This window comes from Homo sapiens, chromosome 8, assembly GCF_000001405.40.
Source record: "Homo sapiens chromosome 8, GRCh38.p14 Primary Assembly".
NCBI classification, from domain to species: domain Eukaryota; kingdom Metazoa; phylum Chordata; class Mammalia; order Primates; family Hominidae; genus Homo; species Homo sapiens.
In genome coordinates this window covers 140,265,482-140,290,553 of record NC_000008.11, presented here as the reverse complement: position 1 = coordinate 140,290,553, position 25,072 = coordinate 140,265,482, and the positions used below count along the sequence as shown (strand labels likewise).

At 48.1% G+C, this 25,072-nt stretch overlaps 1 protein-coding gene and 1 long non-coding RNA gene across 20 annotated transcripts in view, besides 1 other annotated feature; one reads left to right on the top strand and one right to left on the bottom strand.

Moving 5' to 3' along the window:
* The window catches only part of TRAPPC9 (trafficking protein particle complex subunit 9), a 730,855-nt gene that overhangs the window by 168,026 nt on the left and 537,757 nt on the right, over window positions 1-25,072 (top strand). For all 18 annotated transcript variants that reach the window (NR_164662.1, XM_011517326.3, NM_031466.8 and 15 more), the window contains 3 exons: window positions 2,820-2,946; window positions 6,533-6,665; window positions 14,733-14,896. Coding sequence is in view for 17 of the 18 variants with exons in the window: in XM_011517326.3 (XP_011515628.1) it covers window positions 2,820-2,946; window positions 6,533-6,665; window positions 14,733-14,896 (424 nt within the window). In the remaining variant the exon portion in view is untranslated. The remainder of the gene's footprint in view (window positions 1-2,819; window positions 2,947-6,532; window positions 6,666-14,732; window positions 14,897-25,072) is intronic.
* On the bottom strand, window positions 7,622-21,664 carry LOC105375779 (uncharacterized). 2 transcript variants are annotated; one of them, XR_007061119.1, is made up of 3 exons: window positions 19,534-19,709; window positions 8,874-8,919; window positions 7,622-8,749 (listed from the first exon to the last, which is right to left on the bottom strand). It is a non-coding gene; the product is annotated as an uncharacterized LOC105375779 (long non-coding RNA). The 2 variants fall into 2 exon arrangements; XR_001746117.2 differs by lacking the exon at window positions 19,534-19,709 and adding an exon at window positions 21,596-21,664 and having other exon boundaries at window positions 8,280-8,749.
* Window positions 17,171-17,671: an enhancer, noted in NCBI's record as "H3K4me1 hESC enhancer chr8:141282982-141283482 (GRCh37/hg19 assembly coordinates)". NCBI's record gives its function as "activates a minimal SCP1, AML or CMV promoter by ChIP-STARR-seq in naive H9 embryonic stem cells {active_cell/tissue: H9 hESC(naive)}" and the evidence as "EXISTENCE:reporter gene assay evidence [ECO:0000049][PMID:30033119]".

Sequence of the window (25,072 nt, the reverse complement as noted above, 5' to 3'; positions counted from 1 at the left end):
CGAGCTTTCTCTTGTTTTGAAATCCTGACGTCCCATTTCTGTGCTTTGTGTAGGGTGTGAAAAATTCAGTTTGTAATCTCTTCTGTTGGAAATGCTTACCCAATTCTCTAGTCAGGGGGAAGGAGATTAGTACTGGCGCTCTAAGCTGATTCTGTGTTTTCAGAGCGGGCCCTCCCATGCCGATGTAGGTCCCATCCCTCAAGTCTTCTCTGCATTGCTGTGTGGTGCTGCTGTGTAACTTTTCAGCAGCACGCAAAGGAGGGTGCTGCGAGAATGGATGTTGTCTTTTAGAGTTTTATGACTGGTGTTCAGGGTAAGAGGCGGGCCTTTCATGCATGTATCTCGCTGAGTGCTCTTGCCACGTGTCGGTCCCCAGGCAAGGCCCTGAGGGGACAGAGATGGTCAGGCCCTGGTCCCTGCTGCGACTGTGACCAAGGCTCTGTTGGGGTGCATGAGGTGTTGCAGGCCTGTTGTGGACGGGAGTCTGCCTGGCCCTGGAGAGTCAGGGAAGGGTTCCTGGGACAGATGTGACAGCCTGGCTGTGAGTACAGGCTGAGTTGCAGTTTGCCAGGTGGACACGTGGTGGCTGTTGAAATGCTGTTTAGGCCTCTAGCACGTGGCATAGTTTCCCGAAATCTGTCTGAGCTCCTGGAAGCTCAGCTGGATGTTCAGCTTGTAGTCTCGAGGTGCGCTCGGGAGGAGCGCCTCTCCTCCTGTTGGGCGAGGACTGACCTGCAGTAGGATTTGGCTCTGGCCTTTCCTGTGGCTTTCTGTCTCAGCCTTAGTAGGGAGAAGCAGTTTAGAGAATTTTCCCCAAAGTGGTTAAAGTATCAAATGCCTGCTGCTCTTTCTTACACATTTTTTTTTTTGGTCTTAAAATGTAGCTTTCATTTTTATCTGGTTTAAAAACAATATGTGCTTATTATAACAAATGAGGAAGAGCAGGGAACAAAATAAAAAGCACCACATGGAGATAGCCCACAAATCATGGGCAAAGTTTTAAAAACTAAATTAGGAAGTATTTTAAACCTATGAAATGTTACAGGGAATAGTACACACTCGCATCTCCACCATTCACATTTAAAAAATGTTCACAGTTGGCCATATTGCTTTAGCTATTTTCAAAAGAAATAAATGCCAATATATTTGCCTAGAGACAATTGGCTCCTCGGCTTCCACCCTTGCCTGCTGCATCTGTTCCACACATAGATCATTTCACACCTTGGCTCCAAGTCCGGGCACTAAGTGTACTCACTGCCGAGAGAGTGGCTTTGCTTCTGGGTGCTTCCTGTAGACAGAGTTGGGAAAAGTCTGTGTGCATATACACATACATGAGAACACACACACACACACACACACACACACACACACACACACACTATATATATATCTAAACCCATATGCCTACATATATGTACACATGTGTATACCCCTGCGTCTGCACCATAGACATGCATGTAGCATCTGCCCTGTTCACGGGGACCCTCGCTTTCCAGCACTTCTCCAGAGGGTGCTTGCCTTCCTCCATCTGTGTGTGTCCTTTCTTCCCGCGTGAGAACTCGGGCTCCCAACATCAGCACATCTACTTAGATGCTCAGTCCTGTCATATCTGAGATAGTTGCGGGGTAGCTTTGACCATACTGCTGCAGAAAACCAACCCGCTAAAAAGAATCCAGGATTTCCCCCTTCGCCCAGGGCTTCTTTATCTCAGCAGTGTTCTGTAACTGTTATGAAACCTTGCCTGTCATTTGTTAGGTTTATTCTAATGTAGTTGACGGTTTTGATCGCTTGTTAATGATATTTTACCCAATTGCTTATTGCTAAACTATAGAAATAACGCCTTTTTTTTCTGACTCTGTCACTTTGCTAAATGTACTCGAAAGTTCAAGTTTCATTGTAGATTCCATAGCGTTTTCTGACCCTGGTTTTGTTTTCTGTGAGTAATTGCCTGTATGACTTTTCTTCCTTTTTCTTGCTTTAGTGCCCTGAGTAGGACCTCTGTTACAATGCTGAGAAGTCCTGAGGGCTGACATACCTGTACTGCTTCCAATCATGGGCCACCGTCTTGAGGCCAGGGAATCTGCCTGTTTTGTTCACTAGCAAGCTTAGTGCCTGTACTAGTAAGCTTAGTACATACCGAAATAAGTTGATAACTCACAGATGTGTGGCAGGGATATTAACTGGTGGTATAGTTCCACACTTTATTGATTGATTGATTGAGATAGGGTCTCACTCTGTCCCCCACGCTGGAGTGCAGTGGTGTGATCATTGCAGCCTCAGCCTCCTGGGCTCGGGTGATCATCCCACCTCAGTCTCCCAAGTAGTTGGGACCACAGGTGCGTGCCACCTTCCCTGGCTAATTAAAAATTTTTTTTGTAGAGATGGGGTCTTACTGTGTTGCCCAGGTTGGTCTTGGTCTCCTGGGGCTCAAGTGTTCTTTCCACCTTGGCCTCCCAAAGTGTTGGGATTACAGGTGTGAGCCACCATGCCCAGCCATGTTTTTATTTATTTTTGTTTATAAATAAAATATTTTCTCTTTGTGTTCACATTCCCATTTGGTAAAATGATAAATATCAGACAGCAAACAGGGCTGAAATCAAGTGGATCCGTGGTTTATCGCCTGAGCACCTGCAGTGCTTACCATGTTTAGGTGGTTTTGTGTTACACTGTACACTGTCTCCGAAGTTCTCTGTGAAGACTGTTGGTGATTTTATTCCAGCAGTTCCGATGTGCCATAGCCAATGTCTTAAGGCTCATTTGGAACTGAGCACACACAGTAGGTTTGCTCCGGGCTTACGATGCTGCGTCGCTTGGTTTAGGGGCTGCTCACCAGCGGAGTGGAGTTCGAGTCTCTCCCTGCGGCGCTTTCTCTTCCGGCTGAATCTGGTCTGTACCCAGTGACGCTCGTCGGGGTCCCGCAGACGACTGGAACGATTACTGTGAACGGTAAGGAGAGTCCCTTCATGCTTCCTGCTCAGGAGGGTCTGCTGAACCCTTGCATGGCCTCCATGAGGTCCAGAGCCGATCGCCCGTCATGCCAGTCCTAACCAGTTAGAAGATAATGAAGACCTTGTCTCTTTGGGAAGCATGAAAAAAACCTGTTCGTGGGGTGCGGGATGTGTGGTGGTGGGAGGGGTCCTTCCTGTGCTCTGACCCCACTGCCCATGCCCCTCCTCCCTCTGCTTCGTCTCCTTTCTGCTGTCTTCCTCCAGTGAGCCTTCCTTCCTCCTGCTCCTTCTTGCTGGAACTCCTCAGAGGGTGTCTACACACGCTGAATCTCCCCTTTGCAGAGGGCCTTTAACCCTCTACATCCTGGACTCAGCCCTTTTCACTTCCCCAAAACTCCTGTCACAAGCAGTATTTTTTGGGCTAAATACAGGGCCTACTTTTCAGTTTTGTTTCTAAATTCGCTCCTCAGTGCCCTTTGAGTCCCTGGCTGACCCTCCACTAGGCATGCCCTCTCCTCTGGCTGCTGCGAGCCTACCCTCTGGATACTTTACCGCCTCTCTGCTCTAGCTGCTGTGACCCTGCCTCTCTGGATGTTTTACTGCCTCTCTGGCCCTTCTGTTTGGGTCTCTTTTGTCTTCTGCAGCCCACTCCTCAGTCAGGCCTTCCTCACACCCCACTTCTTTCCTTCCCCATCTCTCGCCCTGTGTTCCCTGGCCCTGTTAACTCTTCCTCTTCCACAGGCTACCTTAGGTGATCCCACCGATGCCCTGGCCTTGCTGTCTTCCAGTTCCTCCAATGTGCAGATGATTTCCAGGGCTGGACTTCTTCCCAGCCTGCACCTCCAGCCCTTCCCAGCTGGCCCCTGGGCGCCTCGCATATAATACATGCAAATCAGAACTCCCTACCTCGCCTCCCCAAAACTGCCCCTGCCCCCGTCAAGCCTCCATCTCAGTGCGGGCATTCCCATCAGCCATTTGCCCTAACGGGTTCTTGGGGGTCATCCTGACCCTCGCTGTCTGTCACAGCACCCCCACCTCCCTCCCTCAGTGCTTCCTGAGAACTGCTGCTTCTCTCCACCTCCACTGCCCCTTCCGGTCTTGCAGATCATAACTCTTCTAGGGTTTGTCACAAAAGCACTGGGACTGGTGTTTTTGCCCTGGTCTTGCTTGCTAACAGACCCACCTCCCATCTGTGGCCCGGCGATCTTCCTAGTGTGAATATGCCCCTGACATCTCTCAACTGGGAGCCTCACAGCTGTCGCCAGGCCCTTGTTATCAAGGCCCAGTCCTTAAGTGTTGCTCTGGAGCCCAGTGTGGTCCGGCTCCTGCTGGCCTCCGCAACCTCCTCTCTGCCTCTCCCCTCCTACTTCAGTCTCCGAAGACTCTTTAGTTCTGGCAGCTTTCCAGGCTTTCCGAGGCTTTGCCTGTGTCCCATCGAGTGCTTATCACCCTGGCCGGCTCCTGGGCTTCCCTCAGTCCTCAGCACAGGCTTTCCTTCCTCCGGGAGCCTTCCTCGGCATGGGCTCGCTGGCCTAGGCCCCTGTGCGGTGGCCTCCTTCCTGACTCTGTGCAATAGATTCCTTGCTGGCCTCGTGTGTCTCGCTCAGCTGCAGCTCCGTGCCTATTGTGGAGCCTGGCACACAGTAGGTCTTCAGTGTGTGTTTGTTGCCTGGAAGAGCAAACATTTGCTGGAAGGGTGCTCCCTACGGGTGAGTGAGGCAGGTGTAATCGTAGGTGAGGGTGTGCTGCCCCAAGTGGGAATACGGAGTGGAGTGGCCGTGGGAGCGAATGACTCTGGGCATGGACCCAGCGGGGAGAGTGAGTGGGTCAGTGACCCTGAGGCTTGAAGGCTAACTAGGAACTATTCAAATGAATGGGGGTGGGCTGTGGGGGGAGTCCACAGGGGGCAGAAAGAGGGTTCCAGGCAGAAAGAACAACGTGGTGGTAAGAGAGAACATGGTACATTTGGGGGACCTGGGGGTGGTCAGAGTGGGTGGTCCAGGCCAGGGTGGCAGAGATGAGACAGGCTGGAAGGGAGGCAGAGGGCCGACCTGGGTTCTTACACACGGTGCCAAAGGATGCTGGCTTTCTCTGGAGGGCATTGGGGCTGCTGCGTTATTTGAAGAGAGATGTGGTCAGGTGGGCAGTTCAGAGCCATCCCTCAGGATCCAGGATCCCTGTTGAGATGGGAAGGACTGGAGGCAGGGACAGCAGTGATCAAGCTTCAGCGATGACCCAGGGAGAAAGGGACAGAGGTAGGCCCATAGCCGTGGCCTGGCAGTGGAGCATAGGAGATAGGAATGGATGAGAGAGGAGTAACGAGGAGTGAAGGGCTTGATTCAGAATAGCACATAACCGTAACTAGTGTGTTCACAGTTGAGGAGTCAGAGCCTTAGTCACGCAGTTCTTGGTTGTTTATCCTGGGTCCAGACTAGTGAGTGTTCATTTTTAGCCCGCTTTGGGAACAAGGTCAAAAGGACTGACCTTGTATTATCAGACATTGTAATGTGCTATTTGTCCTCAGACTTTTGGGTTTATATGGCAGTTATTTTAAGCAACAGGTAAGAAAAGGAAAATGACTGACTTAAATTAAGAATTGCAAAATAATGGCTGCTTAGCAGACAAAACCATGTCATACCAGGTTTTATAGAAAGGACATTAGTGCAAGATGTGGTTTTGGGAAGGAGAATGTTTGCCAGTTTAAGACGTCTTTGAAGAGGTATACTTTAGAGGAAGCGTGGCTGCTCTGAATGGGAGTTGTGTTGATAGGGCAGCTTTAAGCTGGCAGGAGGTGAGCACGGGGCTGACTGAGGCTGTGTAAGGTCCCTGATTTGCCCACGAGGGAGTGCCTGCCTCTCCTTTTAGTATGGAATAGTTTCATATGAATGCAGAAAAGTTGTCACCCTAGGCATCTAGCCATGGGGTATTGTTTAATTTTGTTACAGAGTGAATGTTGTTTATAATAATTATCTCGTGAAATTTCAAAAGCCATTTTAAAGCTTTGCTTAAACAATTTCAAGTGATTATCTAACCAGTGGACTTTTTTTTTAACATGGGAAATTTGCTAATCTTAAATTATGGTGCTTATACACACACAGCACATCTGCCATATCAGCAGCAGCTACAATAACAATTGGCTCGTGTGTGAACTTTCATCTCTCAACAGAAAGCTTTGAAGCATTTTTCACATACTCATTAAGTCACATTATGTCCTGGGAAAGAATATTAACATTCTCGTTTTAGAGATGGATAAATCTGAAAAGCAAATGAGTAAAGGGATGAGATACTGATTATTAAGTAGATATTTATAGTTTACAAGGACCTTCACATATATAGTCTTTCATTTGGGCCCAGCCAGCCTTGTGAAACAGGAATGCAGATGCTGTTATCCTCCCCATCACGTACGAGGACAGTGAGGGTCGTGGGGTTGAGGGCGGGAGTGTGGGTGAGCGCCGGCGGGCCCCGGGCAGCTTCGGAACTCAGGTCTTCTGAAGAGGAGCCCCGTACTCTTCGCACTGCTTCAGCCGTGGGCGTGAGACCCAAAGCCTTGCCAGTGGAGTGAAGAAGTTCCTTTTCTATTCCAGGTTACCATACCACGGTCTTCGGTGTGTTCAGTGACTGTTTGCTGGATAACCTGCCGGGAATAAAAACCAGTGGCTCCACAGTGGAAGTCATTCCCGCGTTGCCAAGACTGCAGATCAGCACCTCTCTGCCCAGGTAGTGTGCACGAGGGTCACAGAGCAGAGTGGCTCTGAGGCATCATTTTTGGTCCTACATTTTTTTTTTTTTTAATGGCACAAAGAGCCTGTAATTCTTATGACCAGAATATAGGTGAAGGATTTCTGTAAGATAAGCAACATCAATACGCTTTGCTTAAAATGAATTAGAACAAAGTTGAAATCTTTCTTACCATGATCAGAACAGAATGTGAAATTAGCCTATGGAATCATAATTCTTTTGAAAACAAAATTAGGGAATTTAGGAATTCCCTTAAAAACATAGGGAATTTTGGCCTGGCGCGGTGGCTCACATGTGTAATCCCAGCACTTTGAAGACCGAGGCGGGTGGATCACAAGGTCAGGATATTGAGACCATCCTGGCTAACACGGTGAAACCCCGTCTCTACTAAAAATAAAAAAAAAAATTAGCCAGGCGTGGTGGCGGGCGCCTGTAGTCACAGCTACTCAGGAGACTGAGGCAGGAGAATGGCGTGAACCCAGGAGGCGGAGCTTGCAGTGAGCCGAGATCGCGCCACTGCACTCCAGCCTGGGCGACAGAGCGAGACTCCGTCTCAAAAAAAAAAAAAAAAAAGGAATTTTAATTAAACTTTTATATTATATTATATTTTAATTAATTAATTAATTTTTTGAGACAAGGTCCCACTCTGTCACCCAGGCTGGAGTGCAGTATTGTGATCTCGACTCACTGCAACCTCCACCTCCCAGGTTCAAGCGATCCTCCCACCTCAGCCTCCTAAGTAGCTGGGACTACAGGTTTGTACCACTACGCCTGGCCAATTTTTGTATTTTTTGTAGAGATGGGGTTTCACCATGTTGCCCAGGCTGGTCTTGAACTCCTGGGTTCAAACAATCCACCCATCTTGGCCTCCCAAAGTGCTGGGATTACAGGTGTGAGCCACCGTGCTCAGCCAACTCTTATCCTGTAAGAAATAGTTTTGATCTTGTTTATTTGTTTTTTAGCGTTACAGGAAAACATAAAAAAGAAAGAAAAAGAAATCTCAGGAGTCCCAGAAGCAATTACTGTAAATGATTTGTTGTGATATTTCCTTCCAGTGTTTTATCCATCCTATTTAAAAATATGTATTTGAATAGTTGAGATTACATGACATCATATATAGTATTATAGATTACTTTTTGCATAACCACGTAACGTAAGCTTTTCTTCATGCCTTTACAAATTCTTGAGAAAATTCAATTTTAATTGCTTCAACAAAGCGCATCATAAAGATATCTCAAAATTGCATACCCATTAATTTCCTTGCTATTGGAATTTGGGATGGTCTCAATTTTTTTTTTTTTTTGACGGAGTCTTGCTCTGTTGCCCAGGCTGGAGTGCCGTGGCACAATCTTTTTTTTTTTTTTTGAGGTGGAGTCTGGCTCTGTCGCCCAGGCTGGAGTGCAGTGGCGCAATCTCGGCTCACTGCAACCTTCACCTCCCGGGTTCAAGCAATTATCCTGCCTCAGCCTCCTGAGTAGCTGGGATTATAGGTACCCGCCACCACGCCCAGCTAATTTTTGTGTTTTTAGTAGAGATGGGATTTTGCCACATTGGCCAGGCTGGTCTCAAACTCCTGACCTCAAGTGATCTGCCCACCTTGGCCTCCCAAAGTGCTGGGATTATAGGCACAAGCTACCACATCCAGCCTGTTCTTAATTTTTGCACTTACGAATAACACTTAATGGATATCCTTTTGGCCATTTTTATAAAATGTGTCTTGGGATTTTCTGAAATGTTTTTAAAGCCCATTCATGTGTTCAATAGACCCTTTCATTTGCCAGTTGCTGTGCTGGGTGATGGGGCTGTAGCACTGATCATGACAGTCCTGGTCTCTGTCCTCACGGGAAGTTCTGTCAAGTGGAGAAATTGACAAGTCGCCGAATAATCACAGTGCACTGTCGTCAGGACTGTGATGCGGGAGGTCCCATGTGCTGGGGGAGGTCACAGACTCAGGGAAGAGTTCTTCCAGGAGGCGACAACAGGCTCGATGGGAGGGAGGAGGAATTGGCTGGGTGCAAGAGCAGGCAGGGCGGTCTTCAACAGAGGAAGGAGAGGTGGAGACACTGACGTATAACCGGGGAATAAAATGAAACACAGACAACATTTACTCAAAAGGGATCGTAGACCTGAGTTTAAAAGCTGAAAATATATAACTTTTAGAAGAAAATAAAAGAAAATTATCATGACCTTGAATTGGGCAGAGTTCTTTGATGTGACACCAAAAGCAGGATCCCTGGAATAAAACGTTGACAGATTGGACTTCATCAAAATTAAAAGCTTTTACGCTTCCAAAGACACCATTAAAAGAATGAAAGTTACAGACTGGAAGAAAATATTTGCATATTAAATATCTGATAAAGAGCTTATATTCACATTAAGAACTCTTAAAACTTAATAAAAATAAGGCAAACAACCTAATTTAAAAAATGGACAAGAGATTTGAGTACCTATTTCACCACAAGATATACAAATAGCTCATAAGCAACCTGGAAGGATGGTCGACATCATTAGTCTCTGAACTGGCACCATGTGAGGCTCCAGTTCACACCCGCTCACAGGGCTCACCATAGCAGGGCTGCAAGGTTTCGGAGAAGCTGGACGCCTCGTGCGAGGCCGATGGGGATGCTGATGGGACATCCCTTTTGAAAATACATTGGCAGTTTCTTCAGAAGTTACACATAAGTTTACCATGTGACCCAACAACTCCACTCCTAGGTACCTGCTCAAGACAATGGAACACATATGTTGACACAGAAACCTGTGTGCGAGTGTTCATAGCAGCATCGTTCACAGTCAGAAAACTGGAAAGGGCCCAGATGGCCATCAGCTGGTGAATGGGTCAGCAGAATGTGGTGTGTCCCTGCAGTGGAACACCACTCCGCAATGAAGGGACGAAGGGACACGTGCCCCAGTGCAGACCAGCCTCAGAGGCGAGCTGCTGAGTGCAAGAAGCCAGATGTAAGAGGCGCAGAGCGTGAGTCCTCTGATGTGAAACATCCAGAAAGCAGGTCTCTAGTGGCAGGACACAGCTCAGCGGCTGCCTGAGACTGCCAGTGGTGTGGGGACTAAACTGATTGGAAGTGCTCCTGCGTCATCTCTTTGGGGTGCTGCAAGTGTTTTAAAACTGGGTATCAGGCTGGGCGTGGTGGCTCATGCCTGTAATCCTAGCATTTTGGGAGGCAGAGGCGGGCGGATCACCTTAGGTCAGGAGTTGGAGACCAGCCTGACCAACATGGTGAAACCCTGTCTCTACTAAAAAAAAAATACAAAAATTAGCTGGGCATGGTGGCAGGAGCCTGTAATCCCAGCTACTTGGGAGGCTGAGGCAGGAGAATCGCTTGAACCTGGGAGGCGGAGGTTGCAGTGAGCCGAGATCGCGACATTACACTCCAGCCTGGGGGACAAAGAGCGAGACTTTGTCTCAAAATAAAAACAAAACAAAACAAAACAAAAAAACAATAGGTATCAGTGATTTGTAAATTTACCAAAAATGATTGCATTGCATACTTAAGCTAGGTGGATTTTATACCTGCACATGCTGTTTAGAAAGATGAATTTTGGCAAGGCTTCAGTGTTGGATGGACACATGATTTCCGCCGAGCCTGCCACCAGGACTTCCCGGGCCTGGACGCTTCCAAGCACATTAGCTTGAACAGCCAGACGCTCAGACTCCCAGCTCTGGCTTTGGCTGCTGAAATTCTGCCACTGCTGTCCGTAGAACTGTGGCACCCAGTGGGCGCTAGGCTAGGAAGGACACTAGCTTCAGCTACAGTGTCACGGCACGCGCTCACAGGCCTGTGCAGGGCACCAGCCGCCCAACGAAAGCTGGAGGTGGGCACTGAGAGAGCTCATAAAGGAGATCGTGGCTCCATCTCCAGCTTAGCAAGCTCCGGCCAGCGCTCCAGCAAAAGGGCGGGGGGTGGCTTAAGGCGAAGAAACGCTAAGGGCAGATCACCAAAAAGGAAAAATAACTTGAGAAGAGGTACTTTAACTTTGTCATTTGTCCTGCTAATAAGGTGTCCCCGAAGGTCCCTGCCAGCTGTAAAAGGCAGTGAAGAAAGCAGGTCCTCTAGCTGCTTCTCTTTGTCCACCCCACATTTTTCTCCTGTGTTTAGAATCATTTCCAAAGATAATGCCTCTGACCCCCCATTTTTATTGTCCTGCGGATGCACTGTGACGGGGGTGCGTGCATGCTCTGGTACCTGCTACCTCTCAACAAGATGTGCTGCTGTGGGCGGCCACCACGGCACCGAGCCTGGGCCCTGGGGAGGAATGTGGATCCCAGCATGGTCCTGATGAGGACCAGGGGCTGGAGGAGGAGGGTCCAGTGGAACCGATTTGGAGTTAAAATGTTTGCTTTTTATTTCTTATTTTAAAAAATTGTATATAATGTATATATTTTTCTAAGGTGACTTCCTGAAATAAAATGTGACTATTCTTTGAGTTTTGATTGTTATTAATCTAATATGAACATTCCAGTGACTGATTCATTAAATTTACTCACAAACGTTTATCGACACCTACCATGTGCTTTAGGCTCTGTGCTGTAGGACTAGCAATTAATAAAAAATGCAATGAATAAAAAATGCCCTCGACCTAGGCCGCTGCCCTTGTATGAGCTCTCAGTCTGGAAGGAGGTACTCAGACTAACTAGAGTCAAATTTGCTAACTGGCCCTGTAATATAAAAACAAAGTAGAGGTTGACCCTGTCTTTGGGGTTCGGGAAGGCTTCACAGAAGATGTGGTATTAAACTGGGCCTTACAAGATCCACAACAATTGGTCAGATAATCAAGCATGGAAGAAAATGCAAAGAAGAGGGAACAACAAGTCAACCAACCCAATAAATACAGACCATGGCGCAGGAGAATTCAGCGCTGTGATGAAAACACAGTGGGTCAGATGAGATGAGATGTCCAGAAGAGGCAGGCCTTCAGAGACAGAAGGCAGGTCACTTTGCGAAGCAGTGTCAGATGGCCAGGCTTGCTTTGCAGGGAACTTCTCAGGAAAGGCCTCTGCCGAGGAGACGCGCAGAGGAGCAGAGCTGGTAGGCAGCCAGTGGGATGTGGCAGAGAGCATTCCAGGATGGGAGTCGCGGGTGCCCAGATGGAGCCTGGCGGGAGTGGTGCCTTGAGCACTGACAGTGATGAGGGCAGAGGTCAGGAGCAGGCGGCCTGATGGCATCTCCTGTGGAATTGCGTTGTCCGGCCCTCTCCATGGCCAGGCAGCCATACAGAGATGCACTGCACAGGGTGAGGCTCAGCAGGAGGCAGCTGTGAAGTGTGCAGCAGGCCACTCTGTCCCAGGCCCATCTTGACTACTGCTAGCGTGCTTTTCTGTGTCGCACAGTGGTTCAAGTTTGAGATGCTTATTAATTTGTTCAATACATACTTAGTGAGTACCTGCTATGTGCCAGTTGCCTGGCTGGGTAGGAGCTGATAATGCAAGATAAAAATATTGTCACGGCCGGGTGCGGTGGCTCACTCCTGTAATCCTAGCACTTTGGGAGGCCAAGGCAGGTGGATCACCTGAGGTCAGGAGTTCGAGACCGGCCTGGCCAACATGGCCAAATCCCATCTCTACTAAAAATACAAAAAAATTAGCTGGGCATGGTGGCATGAGCCTGTAATCCCAGCTACTCGGGAGGCTGAGGCAGGAGAATCGCTTGAACCCGGGAGGCAGAGGTTGCAGTGAGTGGAGATTGTGCCACTGCTCTCCAGCCTGAGCGACAGAGCGAGACTATCTCAAAAAAAAAAAAATTTGTCCCTGTCTTGAAAAAACTTTTGGTCCAGTGCAGGGGTGGGGAGGGCAGAGCTACAGGAAGGGCAGCTGAGCCCACAGAGTGCTCGGGGGACACAGGCGTGCCAAGCTTCAGGCACCAGTGACTCCCGTTGCACTTCCTGTGCTGCTGAGACCCAGGGGCTCCCTCAACACAGACCTCATATGAGGGGCCATCTCCTTAAACAAGAGAGTCTCATCGCCATAGACCTTACTCCTACCTCCCACAGTTTGCCCATAGTCCCACATTGGAGTTTCTCTCTGCCAAGAAGCTCCCGGTCCTCATCTCCTCCTAGGAGACTGGACCTGACCCTTGCCCAGCCTCTGCAGCCCCTCCCTGGGGGCCTGACCTTGGCTGGAGTGGGGTCCCTGCTGCCATCTCTTTAGTGCCATGGCCTGTTCAGGACTCAGCTCCTTTTCAGTGCCAGCCCGATTCCCACCCAAGCTCCACTGCTCATGACAACTGGGATGCTGCAGCTGGGACCGTCAGGGCCTGTGTTAGGCCCAGGCCCTGTGACTGCCAGGTGAAGCGTTGTTTTGTTTTGTTTCAAAATCCTGTTGTTTGAGACACAAAATAGTGAATCTTGGCAGTGTTTTATGTTTTTCCGATACCTTCTCTGCAAATCCACATTGACTATAAACTTTTGCTTGAGAAAGGCTGCCTGCTGAAAGGTGGGAAAAAGCCCTTGATGGTAAGGACACGAGTCCAATTTTCCTTCCTTGACAGAGGAAGTTTATTTCTTGACTCATGATCGTTAAAGATATTTAAATTCCAAGGAGCTCACCTTGATTTATTATGCAATTGTTTCACCAAAATTTGGTTTGGATGCAGAAGCTCCTCTATCAGAGTCTGTATCTGGAAGCCCCCAGGAAACACGTGCCCGGCACCATGAGCTTGGCTTGTGTTAAGCAGCATTTCTTCCCTTGGGTGGCAGAGGTCTGAGTCTGGAACATTCTTTTCTGTCCTTTGGACCAATAGTGTGTGACACCAAGTGCTTCGGCGTGGGAAGCAGATCCGACTCCGATCCTGTGTGCTGTGACCGGGAGCAGGGCCAGGAGGAGCTGGGCATTGGAAAGACTGCTGGAGAGTGTCTGGAGTGGGGTGGTCCACAGTCCGCTTAGTTGACTTCATGAGCCATTTCTGGATGCACTAAGCACACGATGTTGGCTCAAGTATGCTGGACTAATTGTGGCTCTCTGTGGAAATCCTTCAGGGACAGGAAGAAGGTAGTGGGGTACTCAGGAAACCTTCAGGCCCCAGGAGAACATGTTGGCCTCCCCGCTCTGGCCACCTCCTCTGTCTGCCCCTTTGTCCTGTGGCCAAACTTCTCCAGGGAGCCGTGTGTGTGTTTAACCTCACCTGTCACATGCCTCTATTTGTCATCTGCTGGCATTTGTCCCCACTGTGCTACCAGATATATTTTCTCTGTGATCACCAGTGACCTCCTTCCCAACCCACTGTTTGCAGCCTGTGGATTGGGAAGGATGCAACCAGGACAATTAGTTTTGTGGATTCAGTTAAAGTCAATAGAAGTCAGGTGAGGGCTCACAGGCTGAGAGCTTGAGTGCAGGAGCCTCGGGGAGGCCCTGGCTTCTGTGTTGCACGTTCATCTGGCTTGGCTGCCTTGGCCTGTCCCGTAGTCCAGGGCCTCACCTGACTGGTGTGAGGATGGAGCCCCACAGATACTGCCTGACCCCAGGGCCTGGCCCAGCTGCCCTCATGTGACGCCAGGTGTTGGTGGGCATTCCTTACAGTTTGTACCTGTAAGAAGGGGTCTGTGGGACAGCTTCTGTTTCCTCTTTGGCCTCAGCTCTATGTTAGCAGCTGGAATGGTTGGTATACATTTTCCTCTTAAATCTATGGAGTTTCCCAAGGTACTTCTAAGCATGACATTTTTTAGATTTTGAGAGAACAGCGGCCTCATGGTTTATTTGAATGAATTCATCATGTAATTTTTATACCCCATAACTTAGTAATTAAGTATTTTTATGCTTCACATATGCCTGAGAAATGAAGGCTGAGTGAGGGTGTTCATGTTTATGACACACAAAGACCTGGACGTGTCTGCATGAGGAAAGCATGAGGCATGTGGCAGCTCACTTTCCATTCCTGAGAGCTGGATACTGAACTCCATATATGAAGCCCAGATTTCCTAGCCCCTGTTTCTGAAATGCATGAGTATGGTGATTCTTCTTTGGGAAGTGAGTAATTTTCAAATGGCCTTGGCTTCTTCCTTCTTTCTTCTTTAAATTTCTTCTTCTTATTTTAGATCTGCACATTCATTGCAACCTTCTTCTGGTGATGAAATATCTACTAATGTATCTGTCCAGCTTTACAATGGAGAAAGTCAGCAACTAATCATTAAATTGGAAAATATTGGAATGGAACCATTGGAGAAACTGGAGGTCACCTCGAAAGTTCTCACCACTAAAGGTAGGTATTGTAAGCAGCTTTGACCCTGGGAATGTTTGTATTGTTTACTTGTAGAAGAGATACTTTAAATTCTCAGTTTTCAGAGAATCTAAAAACTTCTTTGTGGATTCAGTTGAAGTCAGTAGAAGTCAGGCGAGGGCTTACAGGCTGAGAGCTTGAGTGCAGGAGCCTTGGGGAGGCTTGGTGCCATCATGACAGTGGGAAACCAGTTCTTCATGAAAGACACACAGCAGAAGACAGTGGGACCGAGCACACACCTCTGTACCCCCAGTGCCCTTTCCCAGACCTCAGCATCCATCAGCTACTCAGCAGAACTATTTCTTCAATGAATGGGAGAGAAGCATTAGCAGGCCTGGAAAGAGTCTGTTTGGGATCCAACCCATCATGCATCCAGCTCGTGTAGTTTGGGGTCAGGGGACCTGTGCTGAAGTTTGGACTTCACCATTTACTAGCTATTTGTCCTTGGGGAACTGTTACTCCTGTGCCTCGATTTCCTCTTGGATAAATAGGGGGGGTAGTATTTAGCACATACATTACAAGAGTGAACTAGGGAGGTCGTGTTTGGCAGGACACCTGGTGTGTCAGAGGCTGGCGAGTGCATTGATCAAAGGGGAATGTATTGTATAGGAGGAGGGAAAAGTATCAAGAGTAATATGTGTAAATAAAACCGGGTAATTTAATACAGTTAGAGAAATTGTAGGCTAGTGAGACCAGACAGAGAATGAAAAAGGGAAAGCAAGTTAGCAGGACTTTGGGGTGTTTTATGTGCTTTTGACGTATGGGTGAGATGAACCAGGCATACAAGGGGAGTTTGACTGGTTCTGGTTAAGTTTCCAGTAGATGATGTACTAATCACATGTTACTTCCTGGCAGAGGGCTCCCTCCCCATGCTAATGACATTATAATGCGACAAACCAAGTTTCTTAGAGGTAGAGCCACAGACCCTCTGGTTAGTTCCAGCTTGAGGGAAGGTCCAGGGCTGAGCTTGGGAGAATTTGCAGGCAAAGAATTATGTCATGAGAGAATGAGTTTGGAGTGTGTAAGAAAGGGTTAATTTGGGCTTGTACCGCTCTGGAGAATTTCAGGGTATCTTGTATTCCCATATTTCTTCCACTGATTTTGATAGAAATCTGTGTCTGTAGGAAGTAAAGCACGAAGCTTTGCGTCCGCATTGTCTAACCCATTCTCCCGGTCCGTGTCTGCCCTGGAAGGAGCCTTGCCCTGGGGAGGGACCCAGGCTTGTCCTCTAGTGATTTATGTGCATGGTCACGGGGCTGGAGCCGTGGGGCAGCCCACCTTGTGTTCTTGCTCAGGAGGGCCGGGTGTGCCCAGAGCAGGGAGTGGGCATGGAGCAGGAAGTCACCTGTAGCTTGTTGGTGCACACTCATTTTATATTTTCTTGTCTTGAATCCTTCCCTTTTCTGTGGGTTTTTTTTTTCCTTTTTCCTTTCAGTGCTAGTCACACAACATGGAATAACAAGTGTATTTTTTATTGAGTGAGGCCATAAGTGGCAAATTGTTATATGCTAAATAGTTATTAAAAATGCAAGTCTGATGTGTTCGTCTTGCTCCCTTGTCCCTGAGGAGTGGTTCTTGCATTCATCTTAGGCTTCGCTTCAGCCCCAAGGAGATCACAGGGAGGTGGTCCCATCCCCTGGGGAGCCGGGGCCCAGTACAGAACCTGCTGGCAGTTGTTAATTTGGCATGGTTTCTGCATAAAGATGGCAGAAGAGTAGCATTTTTATTCTACTCTTTCTCTTGAAATCTCCCCCGAACAACAAAGTGTGAAGAAACAGTGAAAATAAAACCATTCCCTGTGAAACAAGGAAATCATTTCAACCCCCCGTAACAAAGCATCGGCCACAGGTGTCGTGGAAACTGGGTTAGAGGGAGGGCGAGAGCGGAAGTGGGACTCTGGGAGGACTAAGGAAAAGCTGTTCCCCGAGTAGGCAACGCAGCACCCAAAAGTACCCCAACAATGAAAGCCAGGCAGAGGGGCCTGGGCAGATGCCTGGAGCAGCAGGAATGCCGAGGGGTTACCTTTTCTGTGCCAGGCCTTTGGCCAAGAAAGGGGAGGCCTGGGGTGGGAGGGGAAGGAGGCATTGGAGCTCACTGATCACACAACCTGTGTGTGAAAGGCTTCACTGCAAGCCTCACCTGCATTTTCAATAACAAAAACACGGGCGGCCTGTCTCTAGGATAAGGGAACTAGTGGCATAGCAGCCCAAGCCGAGCTGGATCACAGCTGTCGGTGGCCAGGTCCCTCCTTGTGTCACTCCGGGGCCAGGCAGGAGACAGGCCACACCAGAACAGAAAGAATCGCTATGAACAATGGCTGACAGGTGCAGAGTGTTTGAGAGGCAAAGATAATGTAAAGCAACAGGAAGTGCGAGGAGGGAGGCAGCTCCTGCCCTGGGCTGGCACAGCCTGTGAAGAGGTTGGACGAGTGTGGCCCAGAAGTTGAGAGGAAGTACCCAGGAGCGGCAACTGAGACCTCAGAGGAGTGTCCCGGCTCCGGTGCTGGAGTCTCAGCTCGGGGCACCCAGACCTCTGGGGAGGGCACTGTCTGGCCCTACTGTTCTGTAAAATAACACTAAGAATGGTACCTACATCTCATTGATTTAACTGAGAATTAAATGAGATAATATGTGTGAAGCACTTGAGACAGTGCTTGGCATGTAAGCACTCAGATTTGTTCTCACACAAGTTACTACTTGCTGTGGTTTAGGTGTGTGTCCTCTCCACCTCTCATGTTGAAGTATCATCCCCAGTGTTGGAGGGGGGTCTGGTGGGGGGTTTTGGGTCATGGGGGTGGATCCCTGATGAATGGCTGGGTGCTCGTCTCATGGGAATGAATGAGTTTTCACTCTGTTAGTTCTCATTAGTGCTGGTTGTTCGAAAGAGCCTGGTGCCTCCTCCCCTCTCCCCTCACTGTGTGACTGCCTGCTCCCGCTTTGCCCTCTTCTGCCATGAATGGAAGCTTCCTCAGGCCCTCACCAGAAGCAGAGGCCAGCTCCGTGCTTGTACAGGATGTGGAACTATGGGCCCAAATAAAACCTCTTCTCCCTGTAAATTAGCCAGCCTCAGGTATTCCTTTATAGCAATGCAAAGTGAATTAATACACTGCTACTTTTGCCACTACTGCCACCACAACCACCGGCATCACCGCTGCCACCACCACCATCACCATCACTACCACTGCCATCACCAGCACCACCATCACTACCATCACCACCATCACCATCACCATTATCACCATCGCCACCATCACCATCATCACCACCACCCTCACTACCACCACTCTCTCCACTGTGACCACCAAAACCACCATCACCACTATAACCACCACAACCACCACTGTCACAACTGCCACCACCATCGTCACCACCACAAACACCACCCCAACCCCCACCCCCACCACTACCACTATCAACACAACCACCACCCTCACCACTGCCACCATCACCACCATAACCACCACCACTATAACCACTGCCATCACTGCTACCACCATCACCATCACCATCGCCACCATCACCATTGCCACCACCACAATCACCTCATCATCAACACAACCACCACCATCATCACCATCACTACCATAACCACCACAACCACCACCATTACCACTGCCACCATCACCCGTCACCACCATCACTACCACCACCACCACCACCATTACTGCCATCCTCACAAGCACCATCACCATCACTGCTGCTACCACTACCACCATCACTACCACCACCACCACTGCCACTATTGCTATTGCCACAGACACCACCACTTTGTAGAGTTGTCATGAGGATTGAAGTTTTGTGCATCAGATGTCTAGCCACTTCTCTGCCTAAGGCTACCACTGTTTGACTTCTAATGGCATAGATTCATTTCACCTGCCTTTACTTGGTGTTTGCACTCATGTTATTCATTCTTGAGATGAGAGTGGTGAGAGTGAGGTATATAATGGTGTAGCATTCGGGTTTCAATTTGCTTTTCCCCGATGATTGGTGAAGTTGAGCACTTTTCCAATGTTCTGGCCACTCGTATATCCTCTTTTGTATGAGGACTTTGCCCTTTTTTCCCCCATTGGTTGTCTTCTCTCTCTCTGTCTCTATCTCTGTTTCTCCCTCCCCTTCCCCATCTCTCCTGACTTGGAGGACTTCTTTATGTATACCCTTGGTGTGAGCTCTTTGTTGGACGCGTGGCGTGACCATCCTCTCCCATACTATGATTTGTTTGCCTTTACCTCTTAGTGGTGGCTTTGGATGAACAGAAGTTCTTAACTTTAATGTGGTTCATTTAATCATTTTTTCTTTTAAAAATGTTGTTTATTTGTGTCTTATTTTAAAAACTTTGTATAGTCTTTGAGAAATTTAATGATACTACCTTAATTTCATGCTTTCCTACCCACCCTCCTTTTGGGACCAATTTGGGTGAGGTAGAAAGTGCTTCTCTGGCATAAAATCCTTCATCTGGTACTCTGAACTTAATTAATTGGTTATAGAGTTTGGTTGATACTTGAACAAGCAAGCTAATATTGAATTACAGAAAATTACAGTCTACGTGGCAAACTTTTCTCACATCTCCTGTAATTTAACTTGCCCTCCCAGCTTAGCAACTGGAAAACATTTTTTCCTTACCTCAAATAAACTCTGTGGTAATCGTGTGCCCATTATTCATTACAAAATCCCCCTTTCTTTCTGAAGCAAAAGTCTTCACCTGCTTCTGTCTTCAGAAATCCATGAGTGGCTGCTGTCGCCCTGGCCCCCGCGGCCCTGTGTGGCCCAGCCTCTGCCCCATGCTTGGCTTCATCTATGGCCACCTCTCCTCTTCAGCTGGAGTCGCATTGCTGTCAGGAGCTAATTTTGGCTTCCTGGATGCTCCTGCCATCTGCCATAGACACACCCTTTCCTCCCCGGGCACGCCATGCTGACTTCTCCCACCCCTCCTGCCTCCTCAGCTCCGGAGCATTTATCCTCTGGGCTCTGGCTTGGCTGCCCTTTCTGGAAAGCCTGCCTAAGCCTGGGCTCCTGGGTCTCCTTTGCTGCCTCAGGCTGCTCTGACTTAGTGCCACAGGAGGTCTTGCCACTGTGTATGGTGATGGCTTCTTTATTGGTCTCTTTCTCTAATCAGGGTATGGTCTCTCCAAGGCAGTGACTGGGTTTTCTCTTCTATTTCCAGGGCCTGGCACATAGCAGGTGCTCAGTACCGAGTAATTGGTGACGGAAAGACATTTGGTGGCATGGCCCTATCAGCCGCATTTCGAGAATGAGGCTGATGGGAGCATGCCTTTCTCTCCTGTTGGCTGAGTGGAGGACGTAGACAAGCGTGTGGGAACCACTGTGCGATTTTGAATGTGCGGCACGGCTCTGCCTTAGATGCTCCCCTCTCCACGCCTGCTCTGTGCAGGTCACTGCCTCTGCTGCTCTACCTTAGACACCGCCCCCTTCCCGGAGAGGCCTTCCTCTGCTTCTTGGTCATCTGAGGTCTCATCTCAAGGTCCAGCTTCTGTCCCACCTTTCTAGGCTACCTTAGCCTTTGGTGTTTCTCTTTTTTTTTTTGAGATGGAGTCTCGCTCTGTTGCCCAGGCTGGAGTGCAGTGGCGTGGTCTTGGCTTGCTGCAACCTCCGCCTCCCAGGTTCAAGAGATTCTCCTGCCTCAGCCTCCTGAGTAACTGGGATTACAGGTGCCTGCCACCATGCCTGGCTAATTTTTTGTATTTTTAGTAGAGATGTACTTTCACCAAGTTGGCCAGGCTGGTCTTGAACTCCTGACCTCAAGTGATCCATCCACCTTGGCCTTCCAAAGTGCTGGGATTACAGGCACGAGCGACCGTGCCCGACCATCCTTGGTGTTCCTTATGTCTCTGACTTCATCTGGAACTTGTTCTGTATCAACCATCATTCCATCCTCAAACTTTTATTATAAGAATACTGAACCATGCAGAAGAGTTGAAAGAATTTTATAGCAAACACTTACATACAAACCATCTAGGTACTGTAATGAACATTTTGTTATATTTGCCTTATTACATATCTATCCAGCCTCCTATCCATCCTTTAATCCATCTTATTTATTTATTTATTTATTTATTTATTTATTTATTTTATTTTATTTTTTGAGACAGAGTCTTGCTCTGTCACCCAGGCTGGAGTGCAGTGGTGCGATCTTGGCTCACTGCAAACTCCGCCTCCCGGGTTCACGCCATTCTCCTGCCTCAGCCTCCCGAGTAGCTGGGACTCCAGGCACCTGCCACCACGCCCAGCTAATTTTTTGTATTTTTAGTAGAGACAGGGTTTCACCGTGTTAGCCAGGATGGTCTTGATCTCCTGACCTCGTGATCTGCCCGCCTCAGTCTCCCAAAGTGCTGGGATTACAGGCATGAGCCACTGCACCTGGCCAAATCCATCTTATTTTTTTTTAATGCAGTTTAAAGTAAGTTGCAGTTTTCAGTATATTTTACCCCTAAATGCTGTAGCACATGTACCATTAACTAGAGTTCACTTTTTTTTGGTAAAATACATGTACAGTGACATGTGCAAATCTCGTGTACCATTTAGTGAGGTTTAGAAATACATGGATCTGTCTAACGCAAACCCTTATCAGGATATAGAACGTTTCCGCCACCCCAGAAAATTCCCACATGTTCCTTCCCAGCCAATCCCTGCCCCAGCCCCGGGGCAAGCCACACTTTCCATTTACCTGGTCGGCCTAGAGAGCACTTCCAAGCGTTGATGTAGAAGGTGGGGAGCACTGTGGCAGCGGGACAGAATTCCAAGGGAGATGCTTTTGGCGGTGGTTCATGCCGAGACCGTCAACATGGTCGTCTTCTCTCCCCAGCCCTCAAGTGTAGTCACCCGTCATGCCTTGCCTACACTTCGTCTGTCTTTGTTATTGTGTGGTTTTCTGTGGTTCTCTCCAGTCGGGTCCCCAGTCAGTCTGAGGATGCGCAGGGCACATAGGGCCACCCTGGCTTTATGCACAGGGAAAGTGAAAGCAGAAGAGGTGGGTGGCCAGCCTCAGGTCACAGGTCAGCTGCACGAGGAGCCGGCATAAAAACAAAGGCCTCCTCCTTCCCAGCTCTTGTGACTTTACCTGTAATCATGATAAACGTAAATAGACGGCATGGTAGAGCCATTTTCAAAGCAACAGGGTTACACGTGAAAAATGAAAGCTATCATTCTTTTTTAATTCTTGTTCCAAGCTGCGGTACATTTACATGTGGAATTACATTAATGAAAACAAACCATCTGTTTCCAAAATACACAAAGGGAGTAATTCCTGTCACTTTAGTCCTACAGCACCAAAAGCTGCCAGCATGAATGAACAGAGGACCTGCTCAGAGGACATGGGAGTATGAGCAGAAGCCTCTGGTGGTGGGGAGGGTGAGGGAGGCGGAGCAGAGACAGTATAGGACTCGGTTATGGATGTTAACTATAGGAGAAAGTATAGGATTTGGTTGTGGATGTTAACTATAGGAGACAGCATAGGACTTGGTTGTGGATTGATTTTTATTTTTAAGTTATCCTTATTCTGAGCCCATTGAGCTTAGCTTCTTTAACTGTCTCTAAAATGTCTGCTGTATAAAATTTTGCCACACGAGATGAAAAACCCCCTTCTTTGGGTTCCCATATGATTCTCTTTGTACTTTGATAGAGTTATTTTATATCTCAGTACTACGAATAGCTTTTACTCAGCTGGGTGTGGTGGCTCACGCCTGTAATTCCAGCACTTTGGGAGGCCGAGGCAGGTGGATCACAAGGCCAGGAGTTCAAGACCAGCCTGGCCAATATGGTGAAACCCCATCTCTACTAAAAAATACAAAAATTGGCTGTGCTTGGTGGTGGGCACCTGTAATCCCAGCTACTTGAGAGGCTGAGGCAGGAGAATCGCTTGAACCCAGGAGGCAGAGGTTGCTGTGAGCTGAGATCGTGCCATTGCACTGCAGCCTGGGTGACAGAGTGAGACTCCATCTCAAACAACAACAACAACAACAACGAAAAACCCCAAAAGAATAGCTTTTACTCTTAGCGCTCTCCACATACCAGGTGAGTGGTACTTCATGGAGTTTTTTCTGATGAAATAATCACACCAAGTGTAAGAGGTCTTTTTGGGTGGGCGGTGGTGGTCGTCTGTTTATTTCACTGCTGCATCCTTAGCAGCTAAGAACTAAGAGCAATGCTTGCCGCATAGTGAGTGCTTACGTAGTATTGACACTCTTACCCGCTGCATAGGGTTGTGGTGAGCGTGAAATGTTAACGCAGGATGGGGAAAGCTCTTGGGACAACGTCGAGCTTGTTTGCTTTACAGATAGCAGTTGTTCTTGGTGTGTGCATCATTTCTGCAGACCACGTTTGCATGCCGGTGCCTGGTGCCTGCAGGAGCCTGCCTGTGGACCCTACAAATTGTCCTTCCCCTTTTCCTTTTCCTTCCATCCCTGACACCTGGGAGGCACCAAGAGTCCCATGAGGGGCCCCCTCTAGTCTCTGCACACATCTTCACTCCCTCAGAATAAACCGCTTTTTCTTCAGACATCAATCTTCAGATAAAGAAGTTTCTTGCTTTGTTTTCTCCTCTCATCTTCGCTTTCCTGACTTATTTTAATTCTTACTATTACAGACTCCCTTTAAAATCCCCTGCATTTTAAGTTTATGGTAAAGATCCATGATATTAAGGGTCAGACAGACCTTTGTGGGTCTCTCAGGGGTCTAGACTGTCGTTGGGGCTTTTATGGGGTGAGTGTGTCCCTGTGTTCACAAATTCCTAACACAGAGATGAGTGGGTTTTTTTTTGTTGTTGTTGAGATGGAGTCTCGCTCTGTCGCCCAGGCTGGAGTGCAGTGGCGCGATCTCGGCTCACTGCAAGCTCCGCCTCCCGGGTTCACACCATTCTCCTGCCTCAGCCTCCCGAGTAGCTGGGACTACAGGCACCCACCACCACGCCCGGCTAATGTTTTTGTATTTTTTAGTAGAGATGGGTTTGCACCATGTTAGCCAGGATAGTCTCTGTCTCCTGACCTCGTAATCCACCCGCCTTGGCCTCCCAAAGTGCTGGGATTACAGGCATGAGCCACTGCACCCGGCCACAGAGATGAGTTTATAACCCACCCCATTTCTGGACAAGGAGGGTCTAGCGATGTCATGTAATTCTTCTAGTTTGAATTCACGTGTAAGCAAGTTTTTTTTTTTTTTGTCTTGTTAGACAGAGTCTCACTCTGTCGCCCAGGCTGGAGTGCAGTGGTACAACCTCGGCTCACTGCAACCTCCACCTCCCAGGTTTAAGCGATTCTCCTGCCTTAGCGTTCCAAGTAGCTGGGACTCCAGGTATGAGCCACCACACCCGGCTAATTTTTTTCTTTTGTATTTTTAGTAGAGGCAGAGTTTCACCATGTTGGCCAGGCTGGTCTTGAACTCCTAAGCCCAAATACTCTGTCCGCCTCAGCCTCCCAAAGTCCTGTATTACAGGCGTGACCCACCATGCCTGGCCACTTGTAAGCAAGTTTTTATGTGTAGATTGTGAAAGAGGTGAACTCTTGCTTTTGCTTAGTCATAGATTTCATTGTAATAAAGCTGAAATTAAGAAACATTGACTATATTAGCTTTTCCAGAAATGTTCACAGATATGTGTATATGAGTGTGATACAAATAGAAACATATACATACCTGTATACATAAATGCACGTTCACACCGCTTAATTTCTTCATTCTTCTGTTTAATATTTTAACAAAAAATGATGGCTCCGTATTGTTATAATTAAAAATTCATAAATGTTTTGAGGCGAGATTCTCTTTATTGCTTTTCTCATGAATGTTGTACCACAGCATCCCTGGAGTTAGGAGCTAATATTAATGGCTTCTTACATGTCTCAAGTTCACAGCGGCAGTAATTCCTCTGTTATTATCAACGTAAAGTAACCAATTTCACCTGATAGCCCTTACCTAAATGCTAGCATTTAAATAATGACTATTATTTCTGAAATGAAATTTCACAGGGGAAAGAAATTGGTGACAGATGTTCCACTGTTAATCGATGGCTCTCTTGTTATTCCTGCAGCATATTACTGTGTAGGATTCTGCAGAGCCCCTTCAGACACCCAGTTCTGTGCCACAGGAAGGATGGGGAAAACAGGCCCACTTTTGAGGTGCAAACACATATTAAATCGGACGACCAAGCTATTCA